The sequence below is a fragment of the Homo sapiens genome, chromosome 6, assembly GCF_000001405.40.
Source record: "Homo sapiens chromosome 6, GRCh38.p14 Primary Assembly".
Classification (NCBI taxonomy): Eukaryota; Metazoa; Chordata; class Mammalia; order Primates; family Hominidae; genus Homo; species Homo sapiens.
This window is the reverse complement of record NC_000006.12, coordinates 169,763,827-169,788,728: the sequence shown is the minus strand read 5'-3', so window position 1 is coordinate 169,788,728 and position 24,902 is coordinate 169,763,827. Positions and strand designations below refer to the sequence as shown.

Below are 24,902 nucleotides of genomic sequence, written 5' to 3'. Positions count from 1 at the left end.
ATTATTATACACACTGGGAAAAATTTTATATGGACCATGTATTAGATAATGGTGCTGTGTTATTGTTAAATTTCCTCCATTTGATAACTGAAGGGGAATGATTTTGTTCTCAATAGATGAATGCTCAAGTATTTGGGGGCAAAACATCACATCACAATGACTAACTTTCAAAATGGTTCAGTCAAAAGAATGATATATGTGTACTTAAAAGGGGAAAATAAGTGTGGCAAAATGCCAACGATAGTTGAACTGTCATGTGGGAATCCATTGGACTATTCTAGAAACATTTCTGTAGCTTTAAAATTATTTAAAACAAATGTTGTGGGGAAAAGAACCCACATTTAAGGTAGTAAAAATATTCAGGACACACAAAGAGGGGGTGCAAACAGGTAAAAGGACAGGGTTTCTGACCTCAGAGAGCTTCCTGAAGCTGCGCACATGCCTGTCAGGAAGGCAGTGGAATGAGCAGAGATTCGAGGGGCAGGTCATGTCTCTACTGAGTGGAGCAGAGGATAAGGTCTCTGCAAACAGTGAATTTTAAGCCATTTGTTTAGTCTACATTACAGTGAATCCAAGTAAGAGTTTGGAAAGCCAGTCACATCAGACTATCTTCACTTTGTTTAATGATAGAGACAGGCAGGGATGGGGAACGGATGTCCCAAATGGATTCTCAGCCACATGCTTGGAGCCCCAGAGGAGCGAGCACGGGAGACAGCAGCAAGGACATGGAACAGGCCAGGCTGTTCCATCACTTAATTTAAAAAGGGACGTGGCTTCTGTTCACTCAGGAAAAGGTCGGGGGCAGGGCAGGTGCCAGATGTACCAAGGTGATGCTTTCTTCTAATATTGTTCAGAACATGTCTTCATGTCTCATCAAAACAACTTACGGAAGCAGGAGAACATTCATCCTGTAGCTAAATTCCACGTCCATGCATTCAGAAGGCCCACGCACAATTACCTTTACTCTCCAATATGGCCTGTCAGATGAACACTTGTGAATTTGGACCAACATTTGCTGTTGCTCTTTGAAAATAATTGTTTTCATCATTGCTTTTGAAGGAACACAAATTTAGCTAATTTTCCATTTCTCCCTTGCCTCCAGTAATTCTGGTCTGCTCACGGTATTCAGCCAGCCAGCAGAGACAGAAAATAAAGGCCAGGCACAGTGGCTCATGCCTGTAATCCCAGCACTTTGGGAGGCCAAGGTGGGTGGATCACTTGAGGCAGAAGTTCAAGACCAACCTGACCAACATGGTGAAACCCCATCTCTACTAAAAATACAAAATTAGCTGGGCATGGTGGCACATGCCTGTAATCCCAGCTACTTGGGAGGCTGAGGCAGGAGAATCGCTTGAACCTGGGAGGCAGAGGTTGCAGTGAGTCGAGATCGCACCACTGCACTCTAGCCTGGGCAACAAGAGCAAAACTCCGTCTCAAAAACCAAACAAACAAACAAAAACAAAAACGGAGAGAAAGAAAGGAAGAAAAGAAAAAGCATGGGAGCACAGGAGTTAGAGACTGGAGTGAGATATGATTGTGTCACTGCACCTCAGCCTAGGTGATGAAGGGGAGGGGAGGGGAGGGGAAGAGAAAGGAAAAGAGAGAGAGAAAGAGAAAGAGAGGAAGGAGAGGAAGAGAGGAAGAAGGAGAGAAAGAAGGAGAGGAAGAAGGAGAGAAAGAAGGAGAGGAAGAAGGAGAGGAAGGAAGGGGAAGAAAGAAGAAAAAGGGCAAAAAGAAAAGAGCAAGCATGCAGGAGAATTTGAAGCAGCTTTGCCATCGAGTTCTTGGGTCCCCCGAGCCATGCTACACCGTGGACCACCAGCCAGCAGAAATCCGTTCTTGTTACACCTGTGACCCCTGCTAGCAAGATGGTCAATGTGGCCGGATCCCTCCGGAAGGTGAGAACAGAAGACATTTGCCTCTTAAGGGTTAAACTCTAAGTTAATTCAATTGTGAACAGAGATATGTAACACTGTTTAAGGAAAAACAACCAATTGTAGCCATTTATGATGTGACTGTAACTGGGATGGACATATACTGCAGTTGACCAAGGAAGTGTTCATCAGAAGCAGGATGGGCAACAGGGGAAAGAATACCAAGGGAAGGTCAGGCAGCCCAGCAGCATGGCTGCCCACGCACCTGCAGGGAACAGAGCCGCCACTCAAGACAGCAGAGCCTCCCTGGGACACAAGGCCCTGGCCCAGGAGCCTGAGCATCTGCTACTTCAGATGTGGTCTCTTTATTGGAACAAATAGATATAGTCCCGGATCTCTGGTCTGCAGCCACTGATCTGGCAGATGATTTTTCTCTATACCTACGGATATGGGTTGGGGTTTTGTATCCTGCAAACTCACGTCCAGAAGCTGTCTTGTTCTCATCTGGCAGGGACAGCAGCAGCCTTGGTGGGCATGCATCAGGGCTGTGCTACCTCTCCAGTTCCTCCACACAACCTAGAGCTCAGGGCTGCCGGCTATCTTGCCATTCCACAGGATGCCACCATGGAGCATCACATTAATGATGTGGACAGGAAACAAGACACCCCACTGTTTTGGTGACATTATGACCACCTGGGGTGGGACGTAACTCTCATAAGAATGCACAGGGCTGCTGCTCTGAAGTTTCCAGGGCCTGTGATCTAGGAAGGTGTGGATGCACTCCGCGAGGGGGAGGACAGGTTGCTGTGCTCGCATTCACTGGCACTAGAGAGGGGCAGGCACTCTGAGTCTCTCTGGAGCTCTGCAACCAACATCCACCAGACTCACACACGCTACTCTGCTCACTTTCCAATTAACCTACAAACTGCCAGTTCTGCATGAGGCCTAGAAAGACCAAAGCCTCCAGAGCAGGTTGATGTAAAAGCTGGTCTCCCTGTCGGGCCACGGTGGCAATTAGATCCCATGATGCATGGCAGAGCCACAGACAGGCCCAGAGCACAGACCCCTAGGGTTCTGGGACAAAACCACACCCTCTTCTGCAGATAATTATTAATCTGAGAACCAGCTCTCAGCTTGTCCTCTAGGCCCTGATGGATACCGAACATCTACACTTCACCATCGCACAGCTAGTGACAGCTAGCTGGAGCTTAAGCGGACCACCAAAGACTGCGTTTTCTGACCTGTCACGTCACCAGGGGAGGCAACAGCGGGAGCATGTCATCATTACATTCAGGCAAGATGTATATATTTAATAGGCATATAGGTGTACACACACACACGAGCATGCATGCACATGCACACGCACACACAGATTAGGCTTTGGCATGTTCTGGAGCACAAGATACAAGCAAGTGGTTCCGACGCTCTTCAGGCCCACACTGCTGCAGGGACAGCACCCCTCACCACGCACCTACTGGCCTCATGGGGACTTCCCTAGGATCACTCACCTGAATTAAAAGTTAGACTCGATTGCTGTAAAAGATGCTGACAGCTGACACCACTTGAAGGTGAAAATTGGCAAAGTTCTAACCCATTTGAGTGGCCCTAAAGAACAGCGGGGGAGGGGGCCCATGCTCTCAGTAGGCAGGTGGCACGATGGCTGCCTCATGCATGTTAGCCTTTCTCTCCAGCCACCCAGCCTTGCTTGCTCAACGTTCTCATCAACAAAGTGGCCGTAGAGGCAGTGAAGGACGTTGTCAATGGCTCCGACCGCGTGGGCATCCTCATTCCAAGGCTAGTCTGGCTAAGGTCCACTGCTAAATGTATAAATCTGCTAATGGGAGAGACCAACACAATTCCTAGCATGAAAAACTCACCTGGAAAGAAGAGCCAGCCCCCAAGCACATCGGGCCATGTGTTCAGAGGGACAGACGCCTCTTGGCCACCGCACCTGGCTCACAGAAGCCTCATCTGCTGCAAGGTTGCTTACAGAACTGCTTCCAGGAGACCCATTTCAAGCAGAGCTCAGCAGTGAGGCTCGTGGTAATCGTGATCCCAGCACACACATTACCTCGGGGAGCCTCCCAAGCACCGGGCAGTGCTGGCTGTGACAAGGCGCCCCGGGGGCTGCTGGGTTGCCCAAGACGTGCCCTGCACTCCGAGCCATCGGTCAGCATGTGGTGTGGGTTCTCCCATGGCCGGAAAACACAGGTGGAGGCGCATGTGGAGCGGGAATGGCTCCTCTAATTACGCCCCCGCACCACTAGCAAGGTTTGGATTCTCCGCTCACAATTCTGGACTCTGCTGGTTTGGGTGTCTTCATTCCTTGGATGCTTCCACAGAGAGACACGAGGTGCTCACTGTCCTGCAGGCGGAGGCTGCCACCCAGCCGCACTGGATGCCTTGTGCCAATGAGCCAGAAGAGTTTGCTGCTATGGCCAGATGACTGTTCTCAACTGTCTTGGGGAAACACAGCTCCTACCACAGAATGGGGGGCCAGGAGGAGGGTCTGAAATTTAGGGGATTCTCTAGGGAACCTCTTAGTATTCCCAAGTCCAGTGATAAGTTAGTGGAAACCTACAGTTACCCAAAACGAGAAAGATTTGTAATGGAAAAGACCTGTCAGGAATGAGGTCTGGGTTAACTCACCGGGTGAAAAACCACAACCCAGACAGGCAGAGGAAAGGAACATGGAACAGTGGCAAAAAGGGAATTTTCAAACACAAACTTCTGCCAGATCATCAGGTTGCAAAAACAGTGCATGCAGCAGCTCTGTGCGGTCTCCTCATTGCAATGGTAAGACACACCAGTATCTACGCGATAACTCTACCAGTCAGTTCTTTCTTTCCCTCTTCCCATCCCAGCACCACCACTAGCAGGATGGTCAACCCTACGTCACCATCTAAATGCAAGTGTATCAGAGAGAGGTGTGACCGCGCTATAAAAGAACAGTCCCAGAGTGGGAATACTGACACATGGGATTTGTGCTTTGTGTCTCCACTTTTGGGAAGAGGAGGAACCATCTTCAATTGTACAAGAGAAAGTTGCATCACATTAGCCAGAAGTGTCACGCTTACCCAGAGGTGGTGTTTAAGAGGGGCCAGAGCTGAGCTGGCAGAGCACAAACAGCACATGCTCAGCTCTGCTGCCACCCACGGCCCCCAGGTCTCCTGAGCGGAAGCAGCCACAGAATGCCAGTCCTTAGATGACTGCCAGCTGCACCCTGTCAAGGTTTGGAAGGTGGAAAAAGAGAAGCAGTGATTCACAGAGGGTGGGGTGAGGTGGCCCATGCCCAAGCAGACATGAGGTCAGGGCGGCCGCCCAGAGGCTTCCGGAAAGCCCCAGCTTTGCAGCTGCCAACTCTGACAGTGGGGGTCCCAGGCACCCTCGAGAGCTGCAGCGGCTGCAGGAACCCTCGAGTCACACACTTGCTTCTTCAAGCAGGGCCTATGAATGGCAGCTTCCCTAATCTCCTTTCCCCCAGCTCTCCCAGACCCTGCACTGAAACCCCCACATCTAAAAACAGGGAAGGGCTTCTTTTTTTGCCAAATGCTGACCAGGAGGCTGCTGCCCAGCACCCGTGCCTGCCCACCTCCCCTTTCAGGAGCTGGTCTCCAGCACTGACCCAGGAAGCTTAAATTGCATCAGTCCTCTCCTCAGCCTCAGGGCCTCACCCTCCCTGCCCTGATGGCTGGTCCAGGAGTCAACATCTCCCAAGGCCGGTGAATGCAGGGTAGGGTCCCGGCCACAGCAATCGTTCTCAAGGGTAGGCATGTGGCCAGTAACCAAGGAGCCACGCGTTTCTGAGTGACAGCAGCTCTCCCTTCTTCCTCTGGACGGTGTGTTACGGGGAGATGGAACCAAAAACTACAACAGCACTTGGTCACCACAAAGGAAGCCAGACTGAGACTCACACCGACCACTCGGAAAGGGTACATCAGAAGACTGCAGAGTGAGACTCACACCGACCACTCGGAAAGGGCAAACCAGAAGACTGCAGAGTGAGACTCACACTGACCACTCAGCAAGGGTACATCAGAAGACTGCAGACTGAGACTCACACCGACCACTCGGAAAGGGTACATCAGAAGACTGCAGACTGAGACTCACACCGACCACTCGGAAAGGGTAAACCAGAAGACTGCAGGGTGAGACTCACACCGACCACTCGGAAAGGGTACATCAGAAGACTGCAGACTGAGACTCACACCGACCACTCGGAAAGGGCAAATCAGAAGACTGCAGAGTGAGACTCACACCGACCACTCGGAAAGGGTACATCAGAAGACTGCAGACTGAGACTCACACCGACCACTCGGAAAGGGTCCATCCGAAGACTGCAGACTGAGACTCACACCGACCACTCGGAGAGGGTACATCAGAAGACTGCAGACTGAGACTCACACCGACCACTCGGAAAGGGTACATCAGAAGACTGCAGACTGAGACTCACACCGACCACTCGGAGAGGGTACATCAGAAGACTGCAGACTGAGACTCACACCGACCACTCGGAAAGGGCAAATCAGAAGACTGCAGAGTGAGACTCACACCGACCACTCGGAAAGGGTACATCAGAAGACTGCAGACTGAGACTCACACCGACCACTCGGAAAGGGTACATCAGAAGACTGCAGACTGAGACTCAGACCGACCACTCGGAGAGGGTACATCAGAAGACTGCAGACTGAGACTCACACCGACCACTCGGAAAGGGTACATCAGAAGACTGCAGACTGAGACTCACACCGACCACTCGGAGAGGGTACATCAGAAGACTGCAGACTGAGACTCACACCGACCACTCGGAAAGGGTACATCAGAAGACTGCAGAGTGAGACTCACACCGACCACTCGGAAAGGGTACATCAGAAGACTGCAGACTGAGACTCACACCGACCACTCGGAAAGGGCAAATCAGAAGACTGCAGAGTGAGACTCACACCGACCACTCGGAAAGGGTACATCAGAAGACTGCAGACTGAGACTCACACCGACCACTCGGAAAGGGCAAATCAGAAGACTGCAGAGTGAGACTCACACCGACCACTCGGAAAGGGTACATCAGAAGACTGCAGACTGAGACTCACACCGACCACTTGGAAAGGGCAAATCAGAAGACTGCAGACTGAGCCTTACATCGACCACTCGGAAAGGGCAAATCAGAAGACTGCAGAGTGAGACTCACACCAACCACTCGGAAAGGGTACATCAGATGACTGCAGAGAAACAGAACCTGGACCCTGGCCAAGCAGACCCTCAACTCCACCCTGTCTTTGGGTTTTTAATTTACACGCTGTTAAAATCTGTTAAAATTAAAAGCATCCTGACTTACAAGTTTTCATAAGAGTACTTTACTTGTGGATTTCTTGGCTAAATGTATTAACATTTGTTTCTTCTCACTAAAAGTCCACATTTTCAACAAAGCTGTATGTGTAAGATTGATAGTTTCATTCCACTTGTTCTTTTCGTAACTGGTGTAAGCCACCAGGTTCTCCGTGTACTGCAAGATCGACTTTACAAACCTGTAAAAAAAAAATTAATTTCTTTATCCATTCCATTATAAAATGAAACAATGAATTAAATGTCTTCACTTCATTCTTGGAATTATTCCTAAAGTAAACTGCAGTTAATTTATGTCTGAGGATTCAAGAAAAATAAATCCGTATAAATAAAAAATAAGAGAATACAAATTAGAAGAAAGACAAAAATGCTGAAATGTAAATGCTACTGGACACTTGGACAGGCTCCAACGCAAGCACCTTTTCAAGCATTCTTCTCCAGCCCAGACATGACGGCCGTCATTCCAGGAAGGAACTTAGGGGTCATCTGCATCAAACTGACACATAATATAATAAACACACAGCACAAAATAAACACACAATATACAGTCATCTAGTGGATACCAAAATCCAAGCATACTCAAGTCAAGCGTGAAAAATTGGCCCCCTGAACATGTGGGTTTCGCAATGAGATTTTTGTGTTTTGTTTTTTTTTCCCACATTGATGTCTGCAACCAAGAGCACTGTAATTTCAATCTGTGTTTGCAAGAGACGCAGAGCCTGCTGATACAGAGGACCAACTATATTTACTGAAAAAGCTCCCTGGACAAGTGGACCTGTGCAGTGCAAACCTGCATCGTTCAAGGTTCGGCTGCAATGACAAGCAGGCCAGTCCTTTTAGCCCCGTCAGGAGCCTGGTGGGCAGCGTGCCCTCCCCCTCCTCACACATCCAATTTCCATCCCCCGTGATGGAGGGGCCGGCTCAGAGAAGATGTGTGCCACTGAGACAGCTGTTGCTGTTAAAGAGATTTTACTTAAGTTATTTCTCAAAATGTTAACAGCGGGGTCACTCTGACTGATGACAATAAATGTCATCTTTACTTTTTCCACATTTGCCAGGTAGTTTTCACCAGCATTTTATCTTGAAAATATTCAAACTTAAAGAGAAGCTAAAAGGATAATATAATGAAAAGCCACAGACACTTTGTCTAGAGGAGGGCTCTCTACTGGGGTGATTTTATCCCCCAGGGGATATCTGGCAATGTCTAGGGCACTTTTGACTGTCAAACGGAGGGTAGGGGTGCCATTGGTATTTTGTGGGTAGAGGCAGGGCTGCTACTGAGCGTCCTACAATGAGCAGGGCAGTCTTGCACCAGCCCACAATGCCAGCAGTGCCAAGCATGGGGCACACTGAGCTGGAGTCCTCAGCTGCTAACAGTCTGCATGTTTGCTCCCTCACTCTCAGCAGGAGTCTATGCATCTTTCCATAAGACACCCCAGTTGTATTTTCACGTTCATTTAAACATGTACTGAGGTGCCTGGCACCTGCAAAGCACTGGCTTAAAACCAACAAGATATCCAGAACTTCCTAGCAGCCGAGGGAGACTGGAGCTGGAGCTACACTCAAGCCCAGATTGACAGCTTGTTTGACCTCTGCCCGGAAGCCTCCTTGGTTTGGAATCTCTGGATGTAAAGTGGGTCACACAAGTGTCACACTACTTCAGACTCCTAGATCGGGATGGTCCTAAAAGTGGACTTCCCGAATTGGAAACAATTTGTTACATACACGAATTGGGTTTTTGGCCAGGCACAGTGGCTTTTACACCTGTAATCCCAGCACTTTGGGAGGCCAAGGTGGGATGATCACTGAAGGGCAACATAGTGAGACCTCATCTCTACAAAAACATTTAAAAATTAGCCAGGTATGGTGGCATGGCTGTGGTCCCAGCTACTCAGGAGGCTGAGGTGGCAGATCACCTGAGCCTGGGAGGTCGATGCTGCAGTGAGCTGTGATTATGCCACTGCACTCCAGCATGGGCAACAGAACAAGACTCTGTCTCCAAAAAAAACAAAACAAAACAAAACAAAAAAAACATGGTTTTGAGACATTTGGATGTGGGAGTTCTTGCAGGCCAGATGTCAGACCCTTGCCTGAGATGGCGGTGGGGCCACCAAGGGGATAGTGTCACTCACACTGCCCCAATCTCACTCCTACAGGCTCACCCGCAATCTGCCCCACGATGCAATGTGACTGCAGACATACTGTGACACACTTACTTTAGGTACTGCTGATACTCATGCGCATTCTTCCCACAAACAGCATGAATGTTGACCAACTCCAGCGCAATGAGTAACAGTATCAGGCTGAGCACAGGGGACAGTAGTCTGATACTAAAAACAGATAAAAGTAAATTAAAATGTGAGGATATGTTGGTATTTTCCACCTTCATCAGGAAAAAGATGTTTCACCTAATCAACATCCTTAAGTCCCAACTTCTCAAAAAATAATTTTCCTAATCCTTAGAGCCCAATGCCTGCTTCCAGCCCCGAGGCCCGTGGCCGGCAGGAGTGCCCAGCATAGCCCTTGCTCCCGGCCCATCCTGCACGTCCGCATTTCTTGCTCTGAGTCACCATCTGAGGCGCCCGGTCTACATCAGGGCTGCCAGGGGCCATGCACGCTCACAGGGCACCAGGCAGGTACAGTCTGCGCCCAGCAGCCCCCCTGCTCGCTGCCCTCTGACATCTAGGGAGGAACTCTCACCAGAGAAAAACAAATGGCCTCGATAGGAAAGCAGGCTCAATGCCACCAGATTGAAGAAATCCCAATTAAAGTTAAGATCTTACTTTTCCCATGAAACTAGTTGAGACATGTAAAAATATTGTGGTTTTGGAGAGTGGTAGTAAGAGAATGACCTTGTCTTATAAACTGCTGGTAAGAGTGTAAATTGAGCAGCACCTTTCTGGAGGGGAATCCAGCGATATCTATGTAAAGCTTTAAAAACAGATACCACTCAACCCAAAAATTCTAGAAATGTATCCAAAATGGCCATTTCTTAAGGATGTAGCACATTCTAAAATATACTCTATAAGTGAAGAAACCATAATGCTGTTAATCTGCTGTTAATCAAGTTAATCTGCTGTTATATTTTAAATCCAAATATAATCTGCTGTTAATCACGTTAATCTGCTGTTATATTTTAAATCCAAATATTCATTTAGATAGATAGAACCCACATTTCCACATGCCCAAATTACAAACAATATTTAAAATAGTATGTACTACAACTTTCTATGAAAATCAGCACAGGAAGTCCTCAAATAACATCATTTCATTCAACATTGTTTCGTCACAACATCAGTGAGAAAAGAAATGGATGCCCCAGGAGGGCCACTGCCCGTGTGGAGAAGCACATTCGTTATGGGTTCGGCATGGGTTTTCTCCTGTCCCCCAGTCCCCTCCACATCCCAGAGCTGTGCACGTTAGGTGAACTGGCGCATCTCCATGGTCCCAGAGTGAGTGTGGGTGTGTGACTCGTCCTGCGACGGAAACGCGTCCTGTCCAGGGTGGGTCCTGCCTTGTACCCAGAGCAGCCGGGATAGGCTCCAGCCACCCACAACCCTGACCCTGAACTGGAATAAGCAGGTTGGAAAATGAATGAATGAATGAATACAAATTATAAGAACTTGTAAAGTCTACCATAATCATACAAGTGCTCGACAGTAAGTGACAGATACAAAAGTGCTCAGTGACCCACACATTTGTTCCTGTTGGCGCTGGAGCTGTGGGTGGGGGGAAGGGGGGCGGGCCTGGGGAGGTCTTGCTCTGCAAACATTATTGCCTCATTTAACCACCACCTGGACTGCCATCACTCACTGCCTCACCAAACACTGAGTGGTTATCTCACTTGTTTTTAATTCATCTTTATTAAATGTCCATAGAGTTCATATATACCTCAATGTTTAACATTGTAAGTGTTTTGGGTCTTCATTTAGAAGCTTGGTAATATTTGTATGACCAGAAACATGCTGTGGGAACTTAACTTTTGTTTCTATCATGAAAGGAAAATAAATCTCAGGACCCCAAACTCACTAAGCCAAAGGGAAAAGCCAAGCTGGGAACTGCCTCAGGCAAACCTGCCTCCCATTTTATTCCTAAATAAGGTGGCTACAAAGAGAAAAAAGCTACATACAGACCTCCCTCATAATTTGTCCACAAGGAAATTCCTCATGGGCCTCAAGATCTTTACCCTGAAAGAGTTCTGCTGAATTTCTCCCTGGCAATGTAGTTGCTAGCTGATCTTCCCAGGTGTGGGACAGGAAGTCATCCCCCAGCTCACCTGAGACAAATGCCTATATGATTGCTTCCTCTGCCCTATGTAAAATGCAGCTTCACTGAGCCACACTAAGGTCTAAGTGACTATTCCTCTACCCCCACTCACAAGTAAATTGTGTATTCACCGAAAGGCTCATCAAAGACTCAAAACAATGCAATCCTTTGTCTCCTGTCTACCTATAACCTGGAAGGCCCCCACCTTTGTATTTTCCCGCCTTTCCAGATGGAACCAATGTACACCTTACACCTGCGGACTGATGTCTTATGTCTCCCTAAAATGTGTAAAAGCAAACTTCGCCCCAAGTACCTGGGGTACATGCCGTCAGGGCCTCCTGAGGCTGTCACAGCATGTCCTTAACCCTGGGAAAGTAAACTTTCTAACTGGATTGAGACCTGTCTCAGATACTTTGGGTTCACACTCAGTTGTGGACTCCAAGTATATCAACACCTGTCGATGGGGTTCAGTGAGGGGCTACTGTGTGTGTCTGGAAGTGAGGACTAGAACTGCATCTGTGACAACTTCCTGCCCCACAGTGCCCCTCCAAAACAGGAAAGTGAGCGCGCACCTACTCCACATACGCAGGTAGTTCTGCCGCTGGCGAGACCGCAGCGTCCTTTCCACCCACTGCCTGTGTCTCAGCTCTGAGGCAACGGTGACCTGGCTGGACACACGGCGGCACTGTTCGCTGATGCTTCGGAGCACAACCAGCACTTCCAGCACAATCCTGGGGCAGAACAGGGTGGGAACAGGTGTGCTGCAGAGCTCACGGAGAAGCTGGGGCCACCTGCAAACAGAGCCAGACTTGGAGCAGGCATCATGATCCTCACCTGGGCCTCACTCTCCTTCTGCACCTGCAAGGCTGCGGCTTTCTGGGAGCCAGGGCTAGCGGCGTATCGCTGGTTGGTCTGCAGGGACAACCGTGACACGCGGCAAGTGTTAACTAAACACACTGAATTGTGGCAAACAGAATGTGGCATTCACAGCCTCATCAGATGTGCCAAGCTTGCACAGAGATTGTCAAAACTTATCTCATAATTCCTCCTGGAGCAGTAACAGTGGGATTCTAAGACTACTACCAAGTTTATAAAATCTAAAACATAGAAAATGCTAAGTTTGCTATGCTAATCTGCTGAATCAATGTTTCAACAGTTGTCAGGATGTCCTGGAACTTACGTCTCAGTAGGAAGACGATCCAAGTCCTTTAACACACAACGATTCTCAGGCATATGGTGATACAGCTCATCCGTCATTTTTGTAATCAAAGAGTGGCAGGCATTTGTTTCAGAATTATCTTCTAATCTGAAAAACAGAAAATATTTAAAGATACGTGACAATTAAAGTGCTCACATCAGTGCCTGTGCACAAGAATGTTCAATGGTTCACTGAGCAGCGACCTGACTGTGAATCTCACTTTCCTCAAATATAAAATGGAAAAAGCCACCATGACAATACAGTGGAGAAACAAACGATGCCATATGCCAAGAGCAAAGTCCAGTGACGACGAGACGATGAACCACCTGCGTATTCTTCCTGCTGAACAAGGATGTCTGCTGTTGTTTACGATTCCAGAATTTATGTCTCCATCCCTACTTCTCTCCTGAGCTTCAGACCCATCTTTCTTCCTATCTACTCAGGGTACTTCTCATGGACGCCACTGTCTACCCACAAAACCTGCCTCTCGTTCCATGTTCAGTCTCCACCAGGGCCCCATGCCAGTTGGAAGATCGCATTCAGCGACACTTCCAGCTCCCCACAGCCTGCATCAGCCACCAAGGCCCAGAAATTCCTCCTTCCCCTTTTATCTTCCCACAGCCTCGTTAAAGAAGAAATGCTGCTGAAACTAATAGTACCAGACAAGCTTGAGGTCAGCCAGGCCCCAGGATGCCACGCACCTGACGGCTTGCCGAGTGAGTTCTTCGGGGAAAGGCAGCAGAGCCCAAACCCTGATGCTCTCCTCACAGCTCAGCACCTGGGAGGAAATGTTTTATTGCTTTTGTAGATTTCACAGTAACTTCCTAGAAAATCTGTGTTTTTATGGATGTTACATCACTCTCTAGAAAATACGTAAATTATTACAAATTCTAAACATTTTAAAACCAGATGGTGGGTGTCAGTTCTTCAGTACATTCAGATGGGGGAAGGCTGCGGAAACTACCAGTGGATTGGAAGGGAGTGAACGTCTGGGGTGGCTATGACCATGTCCACAGGTTCTTTGGACACCTGCCATTGAGAGGGAGGCCCCCACCAAATCTGCACGAGCTCTGGCGACTGGCCTGGAACCAACAGAACACAGCAGGTGTGACGATGCTGTGCAGCATCCAAAGCCATGTCAGAGGTGCAGGTGCCTCTCCAGTTCAGGCCGCACTCGAGGTGCAGCAGCTGTCACCTTGGGACTGTCCCTGCAGGACCCCCATGAAGCCCCTGGCCAACTTCCAGCCTTCTCAGATGGGACACCCACGAAGCCCTGGGGGACCACAGCCATCAACGCCCAGGTCAGGCCACAAGACAGATCCCTCGGCAGATGCTCCCCATTTCTAACCCACTAGCGTATGAGCAAGTACAACGGTGGCTGCTGACACCAGTGAGCGTGGGTGGTATCAACAGCAGGAATAACGGAAGCCCAGGATGCAAAGCTGCCTGAATACCTGTGAGATGCCAGGAGGGGGACAGGAAGTGGTAAGTACCCAAAATAGCCACCATGGGGCACAGCAGAGGATGGCCTGGAGTCTCAGTGGCTCTGGTTAGAAGACAAAGGCTGCCTTCTTGAAGCTCCTCTTCCTTCCTAAATCTTCCCTCCTCCCTACCTGCCCACCTCCACCTTCGTAAGGGCTTGCTCTTGGAAAGCACGGCATCCCCACTGGTAAAGCTGGTCCACAGCGCCAACGGGGAATGGCATCTGACCAGCACAGCCCGATGCTCTGCCTCCGAGCCACACCTCCAGAAGGCTGTTTTCCCAACTTCACTGTTGACAACCCCCTTCTGACCGTATTTTCCTTAAGGCATTCTCAAGGAGGCCTCAGACTTCTCAAGGCACCTGCCATCACGCCCGGCTAATTTTTGTATTTTTAGTAGAGATGGGGTTTCACTGTGTTAGCCAGGATGGTCTCGATCTCCTGACGTTGTGATCCGCCCGCCTCGGCCTCCCAAAGTGCTGGGATTACAGGCGTGAGACACTGCGCCCAGCCTCTAGGCACCGTTTCTTTAAAATGCCTTTGCAAATCTCTCCTGACCCGCCGTGTGTTGATTTTACAGCTTCCTTTTAGAGGTAATCTCATTTATAAATTTTCACCTGCACAACTGTCATGATGCTTATATTCTTGGGGACTGTCTCTTTCATCCCCTTGCACTACCCTTGTATCCTCCCGTATGTAGAATAAAGCACCTTAGCTGATTTCCAAATTGGAGCCTCCTGGCAGAAACACTTAAAAAATTGTTTGTCTCAGTAAGTTAACAAAAGCTAGTCCGTGTAGAAGAAAAACTGACGTTACTCACCACTGACAAATAAAAACTGCTCCTAGCTCTGCGTTACTGCTGACAGCAATAACAGCCTGCCAGGGGACTCAGCAAAAACACTTCCCAGTGCTCATCCATTTAACACTAAAAACCTCAGTGCCGTCAGCACCGCATTACTTTCAACTGCTAGACACGGAACTTGAGACTCAGAAGACTGAGCAACCAGGCCAGCGCCACAGCAGGCCCCGCACTGGTTAAAAAGCTGGATCTGCCCAACTCAAAGTCTGACTCAGCAAGCAAACTGCACCCTTCCAGCATCTCTGCAGAAGACAGGTGGTTTCAGAGACATACACGCCCCTCCCGGGACCCTGCATTTGGCATACCTGTTTTTTAAGCTGAAAAACCGGATGACAGCGAGAACTATAGCCTTCTGCAAGACTAATCAACAATTCTACGGCTGATTTTTCCTAGTGCAGAGAAAACAGTGGTTACTATCATGTTTGGGTGGGCTTTTAGCTTTCTTCTATTGAACTGTAGGCCACTTAGAGTCCCCATTTCTCATTATCTTTCTTCAAATAATTCTATGCAGCTAGAAAAGCAAGTGCTTCATTAAAATAGGCTTGACATGGCAGGCAAATGACAGCCAATAAAATGATTTTAAATGGAGGCCATTAACAATAATAGATCACAAATGCCACACCCACCCTCTGTGCACAAAACTGGAGATGAATAAGAAAAAAAAGATTCCAAACAATTGGAAATGTAACTAGGAAATAGTTACTTAAACACTAAAAATGAATACAACTAAAAAAAGGATCGCATAAACATTTAATTGCCAAGCATATACATATTTTAAAAAGCATAAAAATTACATTATTTGCAGCTGATATAACCACATAACTTAAAAATCCAAGTCAGCCAACTAAAACCTATGAGAAACAAAGTCAGTGAATTGATAGCTGACAAATTAAAAAATCTGTAACTACCTACAATTTTTTTTTTTTTTTTTTTTTTTGAGACAGAGTCTCACTGTTTTTGCCCAGGCTGGAGTGCACTGGCGCGATCTCGGCTCACTGCAACCTCTGCCTCCCAGGTTCAAGCGATTCTCCTGCCTCAGCCTCCTGAGTAGCTGGGATTACAGGCACCCACCACCACGCCTGGCTAATTTTTTTTTATTTTTTAGTAGAGACGGGGTTTCACCATGTTTGGCCATGCTGGTCTCGAACTCCTGACCTCAGGTGACCCATCTGCCTCGGCCTCCCAAAGTGCTGGGATTACAGGCGTGAGCCACTGTGCCTGGCCCACTACCTACAATTCTTAAAAGCACAAAACAAACAACTCAAGTAGCTAGATGTTAACTACAGAAGAAATGTGCTGGCCTTCCCGTCACTCAGGTGTGTAAGAGCCTGGAGTGCACCAGGGAGTGTGCTGGGCAGAAAACGGGAGGTACACTCATGTGCCTGCATGGGTGACGTCCCCGCAGGGCAGACACACACGCAGCATATGTGTGCCACTGAAGAGCACCTGGCTTCTGTTCCAAGATGTGAACCCATCCGAGGGCTTCCGAGGAGAAGGAAGACATGTTGGTAAAAGGATCAGTCTGGCTGCTGTGTTACGACAAGGTGAAGGGCTCGCAGAAGTCGGTGGGCAGACCAGTCAGTGCCAGCAACACTCCAGGGAGGGGCCAAGGCGGCATGGCCAGGTGGTGGCACAGGAGGGACAGGGAGTAGCAGATGTGGAACATATTTCTTTTTTTGTTCTCTTTATTTTTCTGAGACGGAGTGTTGCTCTGTCATTCAGGCTGGAGTGCAGTGGCACAATCTCGGCTCACTGCAACATGTGCCTTCCGTGTTCAAGCTATTCTCAGGACTACAGGCACCCGCCACCACGCCCGGTTAATTTTTGTATTTTTATTAGAGACAGGGTTTCACCATGTTGACCAGGCTGGTCTCGAACTTCTGACCTCAGGTGATCCGCCCGCCTCGGCCTCCCAAAGTGCTGGGATTACAGGTGTGAGCCACCGCGCCTGGACTGTGGAACATATTTCTAAGACCTGTTCCAAGGACTGAGTATGAAGCGAAGAGAGGAATCTAAGGCTTCCCGCCTGAGCAGCCACCTAGGAGGCTGGAGGTGCCGCGTACACGGGAGGACTTGAGGAATGAAGATGGGGAGAACCTGTGTCCCTGAATAAGCTTCAATATTGTGAAAAATGTCAATTATCCCTAACTCAATCCACGAGGGCCTCATTCTTATTTGTTTTTTGGGTTGTATGTTTGTCCAAGTTTACACAGAATAATAACTATTAATTTTTTTAAAAGTAAAGCTAGATTCTGTACCTTACTCCCAAGATGAAATAAATTCCAGTTGGATCAAAAGACGTAAATGGAAAATGAAGAAAAAATAGGCAGGGCACGGCGGCTCATGCCTGTAATCCCAGCACTTTGGGAGGCCGAGGCGGGTGGATCACAAGGTCAGGAGTTCAAGACCAGTCTGGCCAACATGATGAAACCCCGTCTCTACTAAAAATAGAAAAAAATTAGCTGGGCGTGGTGGCGGGCGCCTGTAATCCCAGCTACTCAGGAGGCTGAGGCAGAGAACTGCTTGAACTCGGGAGGCAGAGGTTGCAGTGAGCTGAGATCACGCCACTGCACTCCAGCCTGGGCGACAGAGCAAGACTCCGTCTCAATAAAAAAAAAACAAAAAAAAAAGAAAGAAAAGAAAAAAGAAAAAATAGAAGTATCAGAGAAAATGTATACATATATTTTTAATTTTGAAAAGCAAAGATTCTTTTCAGAATGACTCCAAATGTGAAGCCAAAGAGAAAAAAAAATCAAAATCTATAAACAAATAACAAAGCAATATGTACACAAACAAGGCTAATGATCCAATGGGAAAAATAAAACTGAAATAAATGGAGAAAATACATTAATAGGCAATTAACAAAGGAATTATAAACATCTAGTAAACATAAAAAAAGAAATGAAAATAAAAACATAATCTTGGCTGGATATGGTGGCTTGTGCCTGTGGTCCCAGCTACTCAAGAGGCTGAGGTAAGAGGATGGCTTGAGCCCAGGAGGTTGAGGCTGCCATGAGCCATGACTGCACCACTGCACTCCAGCCTGGGTGACAGAGCAAGACCCTGTCTCATAAAAAATAATAATAATAAAAAAATTTAAAAAAACCTTATTGATATATTTTGTCTTAGAACTTTACTTTTTAAGAGTATTTACGTAAGTGCCCAAATGAACAAAGATGTTCATTTCAGCATAATAATTAGGAATTTTCTACATCAGGGAACATTACAACTCATTCATCAATGATGGACTGCTTAGGTAAATAATAACATATTGATAAAATGGAATATCAAACAGCTGACAAAAAGAATAAGGCAGAACAAAAATGCCAAAAACACAGTTGATGAAAAATGCTAGCTATAAAACATAACATACCTTCCTATGAACTCACTTTAGTATACTCATAGCAAAAATGTGGTAGCAACAACACCGAATTATTAACAGTAGTTATTTCTGAGAGATGGAATTCCTGAGGGCTCTTACTTTTCACATTAATTTTTCTATTTCTAGTAATTTTTGTTTGAACATTTAAACAATTTTTAAAATAACTGTCACATGTATAATCTGAAAAAAAGATTAAAATATAAATAACAAATGTTCTATCCTAAATTATTTACTTTGAAATAAAAGAGTTTATTGATGATGCAAATATCCTACCCCATCGATTTAGCAAATATCTGTAAAAATTTCCTAATATTTGGTTAATCCTGTTTTATAATTTGTTCTTTCCTTTTCAATACTTAGCTGCTGTTACATACAAAAGCAAATGTGTTTTTAAGAAACGAGTTAAATTATTTTAGCTGAGATTAATATTGATTGATCTGTGATAGAGAATATAAACATACATGTAATCCATTCACTTTTTTTTCTGATGGAGGATACTGTAACTCAGATATATTAAAAGATGATTAACAGTTAATTACATTTGAAAAATAAACTATATTTTCATAGCTGAATGAGTTAATCTAATTAATGATTTTCTTCCCTATAAATTACCTTAAAAACTGATAGCAGACAGTCATCAACGAATCTGAGTAGCAGTACAAGAGAAAATGCAAGCAACTGATTAGTTGTTTCTTTTGAAAATTCATGTAAGTTGATCTCCCCGTGGCTTAAATGATCTCTTATGCGGGGACCCTCCTGATGGTTCAGGAAATCCCAGAGAAATTCCTTTCAGAAATTAAACAGAGAAAATATTTTGTTAGTATCCGCAGCAGAGAGACGTGCCTGGTGTTGCTGAATAGAAGGAAAGAGTGCATCCATCAAGTCCTCTGAAGCCCTGGGTGGGACTCTGCTGGGGAGAGCTCTTCTCCTACACCCACAGGACAGACCAGGGAGCCAGAGAGGCTGTGGGGAAAGCAGAGCTGCCCAGGTGGTACTGGAGCCTCATCAAATTCCAGTCTTTCTTGTTTTCACCTTCCTCCAAGGAAGGGAACTGAGTGTGAACATTTGCAAATGAGCTTTTCCAAGGCAATAAAAGAAATCACGGCTCTTTCTTGTGTGAGCACAGCCCCTGCACTTTCTCATCTGCTCTTTCACCTTCAAAAGTCTGTTGCTTCTTACGACACAAATCCAAGGCCTCTCCCACAGGTTTTAGGGAAAAGAGGTCAGAAAACTGCTGCCCTTGGCAAACCGCCAATGGTCAGAAGCATCACAGAGACTCAAGGTGGAAAGAACATTAAACTAGTTCAATCATCTTATTTTTTGATGGTAAAAATGGATGTCCACAGAGCACGGAGTCTAAAGTCACAGAACATGAGCATGATTCTAGGTCGCCTGACTGTTAGAAGGAATAAATGTCAAATACCTATTGTAGTCCAAATTAGTCACCGAAATATCTTCATAAAATATAAAAAAATGGATAGATGGCCTTAAACAATTAATGATCCTCTTTTCATCCAATACTCAATCTTATTACTCACATTTGACTGTTGCTTTTATTTTCAGACGGAGTCTTGCTCTGTTGCCCAGGCTGGAGTGCAGTGGCAGGATCTCAGCTCACTGCAACCTCTGCCTCCTGGGTTCAAGCCATTTTCCTCGCCTCAGCCTCCTGAGTAGCTGGGACTCAGGAGTAGGTGGGTGCCCGCCACCGCACCCAGCTAATTTTTGCATTTTTAGTAGAGACGGGGTTTCAACATATTGACCAGACTGGTATTGAACTCTTGACCTTGTGATCTGCCCGCCTTGGCCTCCCAAAGTGCTAGGATTATAGGCATGAGCCACCGCACCCGGCCTAACTGTTGCATTTAACAAGGCACAAATATATGTCCGTTCTACAGCACAAATACATGTAAAAAACAAATACAAATTTTGCTTAGGGACAGGGCAGCTAAATCATCAGGCCTTTAAAAAACACATTTAAGGAGTGACAGCTTGGCAAACATCAGCTGATTGGTGGCTGAAGCTGAGACAGCACAGCAATGTTTCAGAAGTATTTTTCTTGAGCAAACCACAAGCCAAAATTAATTTAATTTTAGAGAAGTGCTGACGACATCCATAAATACAAGAATATTAGCCTGGAAAATACCTAATACTTACCATAGCAGGCTCTCCAAGGAAAAGAGGAAGCTGATTGATTTTACCATCATTCAAGTGTTTTGCCAATATCTAAAACATCAAAAATAAATACATTGGTTAACTGGTCCCCATACATAAACATACAGAACTTTCAGAGTTGATGGATATAGTACTTTTAGCCTAACTTGTTATCTAAGGTCTAAGCAAATTAAATGGACAGTCTTTAAAATTCAGCAAACAGGTGTTCAGGAAATATTTTCTTAACCAACAGAATGACTTTAAGACTATATTAATAATTGTATACACATGTGTGTTTGTGTATGTGACTATGAATATGTGTGGTGTGTATATGTGTATGTGCATATGTGGTGTGGGGGTGTGTACATTTGTGTGTTTATATGCAACTGTGCCTGTGTGTGTGTGTGTGTGTGTGTGTAGTGTATGTGCCTGCATGTGTGTATGCCTGTGTGTGTATATGTGGCATGGATGTGTGAGTTCGTGTGTGGTGTGTGCATGTGTGTTGTGTACACATTAGAGTATGTGTATGCCTGTGTGTGTCTGTGTGGCATGGAGGTATGTGTTCATGTGTGTGTGTGTATGTGTGGTATGTGCATGTGTGTTTGTGTACACATTAGAGTGTGTGTATGCCTGTGTGTGTATATGCAGCATGGAGGTATGTGTTCGTGTGTGTATGTATGTGTGGTGTGTGCATGTGTGTTGTTTGTGTACACATTAGAGTCACTTCCAAAGTCATTTCTTAACTCACCATGGACTTTGCCCAACCACCCCAACCAATCCCACAGATCTGATCCTCTAGAGACTGGGCTGCACTATCTAATCAATTCCTCACATTACCAAAGGTCTTACACATTAAAATCACAACAGATTGTTCACCTAATGGAAGAAGCTCTGCAAGTAAACAGGCACATTTTTAACTCAGCCACAACACAGTCGCTTAGGATCTAATAGTTGTCTTAAAGGCAAAACCGAATGTCCGGACCTCTACAGGTGACCCTTCCCTTGGTTTCCCATAGGCTGTCGTCACACTTTAGGTGCACATGAACGCTACCCGGGGTTACGCACACAAATGCCTGTGCGCTCCGTGGCTGACAAGAGGCATTTTCAACTGTGAGTTTTCTACTATTCACACCGCCAACATGCAGATTAAATGAATCAATGTATCCCACACACTTGTAACAGTAGCGGGGAATATTTCCTGTACAAAAAAGATGTCACCCCTAAATCTAAAATGCAAGCCTCTAAATAATTATAGCTAATCATGTTAGATCCCTTGGTATTTTCCAACTTTGAGCTTTGGATAGCTTTGGGAGCTAGATTGGTAACACTGGGCCCCAAAATTAACCGGAAATATCAATTATCAGCTTTTTTTGGTTTATATTACTATGGACATTTTCCTGTAAGTATATGATTTATGGCTGATCTTTAATTTTGCATTTTAATTTGTATTTTAAAAGAAGACAGCGTTCTGTTTGTTTCAAGTTACCTTACAAGTTTACTTACTTACTTGATCAAAGGTGGTATAAAGAGCTGTTGACTTCAGAAAAGGAAAGAAATGAAAATAAACAATTAAAGCAAAATACAAATACACTAACACTATGCAAAATAAGAAAAAATTCTGGTACATGGCCACACATCCCAAAGTTTTTTGTTAAAACAAACATTCATCTAGAAACACTATGAGAGGAATGTCACTGACAAAATAAACACATTACAAAAGACGCAAAAACACAGTGCAGCTGGCCATGAAGCCGCATTAGGACACTGCTCTCAACAGAGCTTTAGCCCAGTTATCTCTAAAATGTACAATCCCAGGCCCTCACAAATCGCTGCTCATACAACAGAATACTTCTCCTGACGACTGGTATTTGTGCACAAGGGAGCACAGCTTCCTATTTTCTCCAATGAATAGCCTTGTCTGTTTTTATTTTATTTCATGCACGCTGCTTCTCAGCATCATCGGCACGGCCTACAGACATGTGCTGTCCTGAGTTCTGATCCCAACTGCAACATTTTCTAGACATGAAACCTACAGGCAACCGATTGAACTCCACAGATGCAGGTTTTCTCTGCAAAAGGAGAAGTTAAGAATGCCTATCTCAAAAGGCTTTTGGGGACTTCAGTGAGATTTGACAGACAGCATGACGAAATCACTTCAGTGAGATTTGACAGACAGCATGACGAAATCACTTCAGTGAGATTTGACAGACAGCGTGACGAAATCACTTCAGTGAGATTTGACAGACAGCGTGACGAAATCACTTCAGTGAGATTTGACAGACAGCCTGATGAAATCACTTCAGTGAGATTTGACAGCATGAGGATTGGCTGCACGGTGGCACGCTCCATCACTGTAGGGCCATGCGGTGTGATGTGATGAAATCAGGATTTTGTGTAAGCTAGCTCTCAAGAAATGTTTTTTGATTTATTAATGTTTAATAATAAATGTTTAATAATCTATTTTAAATTTCATATTGCCAATATTCTTCAACATTACTACACAGATGACTCTAAAATCTGTTATCTTTAGCTCTGAAATCTGTATTGCTAGCCCTAAAATTCCCTCTGAGTTCTAAATATCCAACGTCTACCACATATTCCCACTTTCTCCAAAAAGCAGAATTTTTCATTTACCTACATCAACTACACACATTAGCTTCTACTTTGTTTTACAGAGTTAGTATAAATGCCTTCTCACTCTCCCATGATAAATAAGCTTCTGAAGTCAGAAAATCTCACTCATATTCATATCTTCCACTGGTCCTGAAGAAACCTCATGACACAAAAGTAATCAGTAAATAATAACAGCATCTGCAGTGTCTTATTAAGTTTTATAAAATATCTTCATATATGTACTGCCTTAAAAACTGATCCTGTTTATTCTGGGTGAAAGCCTGTGCTAATAATATATTCTTTGATAGATTATATCCTCTGTGGAAACAGCCATGTTATTTATTTATGAAGTCAAATGACAAGTAAATATCCAAATTTATTTGCACCGCATGGCCCTACAGTGATGGTGCGTGCCACCGTGCAGCCAATCCCCATGCAGGTATCATGAAGCAAGGGCTCTAATGGGTGGGGCCCAGCTCTTTCCTGAAGCTTCGCTCCACACCGCGCTGAGTGGCCTACATGGAAGGCACTGGGCATGGGCAGCAGGCGACAGCAACGTGTAGGCCTGCCTCAGAGAACCCGCAGAGACCTCTGCAGAAATGCACACGAGTAAGGCAAAGCAGGACTGCCTCCAAGATGAGACAGAAACAGAACACAGAGAAAAGCAGCCTCCACCTTTGAGTAGATGAGCCTCTGGAAGGTCGCTTTTGTGGCCACAGCCCCTGACCTGGAGCGGAAAATCTGGGGGTGAGGAACAAAGTAAGAGGAAAGACAAGCAAGTTCTGGAGCTGACAAGAAGCCTAAATTTCACTGAGGTATCCAAACAGGGAACACACCAAAGAGGAGGGCAGGGTTAGAACCCGAGGCCTTGCTGCCACGTGAAGAGGATGAACTCCATCTGGCAGGCAGCAGGACATCATCGAGGAGGTTAAACAAATGAAAAAAAACCATAAATAACGTAAGAATATCAGCTTAGAAAATAATCAGTGGGGCCACGTATGGTGGCTCACACCTGCAATCCCAAAACTTTGGAAGGCTGAGGCAGAAGGATGACTTATGCCCAGGAGTTCAAGATCAGCCTGGTCAACATGGCAAGACTCTGTCTCTACAAGGAAAAAAAAAATGTAAAAATGAGCCAGGTGTAGTAGCACACATCTATGGTCCCAGTTACTCGGGGGGCGGAGGTGGGAGGATCGCTTGAGCCCGGGGATTGAGGCTGCAGTGAGCTATGACTGCACCACCGCACTTCAGCCTGGGTGACAAAGCAAGACCCTGCCTCAAAAAAAAAAACCAAAAAAAAAAAACTAACTAAAAAAAAGAATCAGCAGGACTGTGAGAATGAAATTTGAGAAGGAGGAAGAATCGTGAGATGAGCTCGGGTGGGCCGAGGAGCCAGGCGGGGGGCTTCTCAGTTTGGACAGGAAGAGCACAAGGTCAGCTGGGTGGAAACCACCGGCTGTGCTGGCCACTGAGTGGACACGGGAGGTGTTGGGGAAACACGAGACGCTGCTGGAGTCTGCAGCTGGTGAGGCTGAGATGACAGAGGGAGCGTCAGAGGACAAATCTGTGGGAAACAACGCCTTTCTGAAAGAAGATAAATGTGAGGTGCTGAGGAAAACTCACATGAAGATATTTAGTGAACATAAGCAGGTCTAACTGCAGAGATCAGATGGGGGTCAGTGAGAAGCAACACTGGGGAGCCCGGCTCCGGGGCCGTAAGCTGCCCTCGCAGCAC

At 46.1% G+C, this 24,902-nt stretch overlaps 1 protein-coding gene across 16 annotated transcripts in view, besides 3 other annotated features; it reads right to left on the bottom strand.

Annotated features, from left to right (window-relative positions):
• Positions 5,279–5,779: an enhancer, noted in NCBI's record as "H3K27ac hESC enhancer chr6:170183046-170183546 (GRCh37/hg19 assembly coordinates)". NCBI's record gives its function as "activates a minimal SCP1, AML or CMV promoter by ChIP-STARR-seq in primed H9 embryonic stem cells {active_cell/tissue: H9 hESC(primed)}" and the evidence as "EXISTENCE:reporter gene assay evidence [ECO:0000049][PMID:30033119]".
• ERMARD (ER membrane associated RNA degradation) overlaps positions 7,129–24,902 on the bottom strand; it is a 30,295-nt gene continuing 12,521 nt past the window's right edge. For 7 of the 16 annotated variants that reach the window (XM_047419020.1, XM_047419021.1, NM_018341.3 and 4 more), the window contains 9 exons: positions 22,062–22,091; positions 20,558–20,626; positions 19,016–19,189; positions 15,327–15,410; positions 13,383–13,459; positions 12,664–12,789; positions 12,056–12,274; positions 9,434–9,547; positions 7,129–7,399 (listed from right to left, as the gene is read on the bottom strand). In XM_047419020.1, coding sequence (XP_047274976.1) covers positions 7,216–7,399; positions 9,434–9,547; positions 12,056–12,274; positions 12,664–12,789; positions 13,383–13,459; positions 15,327–15,410; positions 19,016–19,189; positions 20,558–20,626; positions 22,062–22,091 — 1,077 coding nt within the window. In that variant the 3' untranslated portion in view covers positions 7,129–7,215. The other 9 variants (NM_001278533.2, XM_047419023.1, XM_011535938.4 and 6 more) reach the window with 7 other exon arrangements.
• Positions 16,000–16,500: an enhancer, noted in NCBI's record as "H3K4me1 hESC enhancer chr6:170172325-170172825 (GRCh37/hg19 assembly coordinates)". NCBI's record gives its function as "activates a minimal SCP1, AML or CMV promoter by ChIP-STARR-seq in naive H9 embryonic stem cells {active_cell/tissue: H9 hESC(naive)}" and the evidence as "EXISTENCE:reporter gene assay evidence [ECO:0000049][PMID:30033119]".
• Positions 16,501–17,001: an enhancer, noted in NCBI's record as "H3K4me1 hESC enhancer chr6:170171824-170172324 (GRCh37/hg19 assembly coordinates)". NCBI's record gives its function as "activates a minimal SCP1, AML or CMV promoter by ChIP-STARR-seq in naive H9 embryonic stem cells {active_cell/tissue: H9 hESC(naive)}" and the evidence as "EXISTENCE:reporter gene assay evidence [ECO:0000049][PMID:30033119]".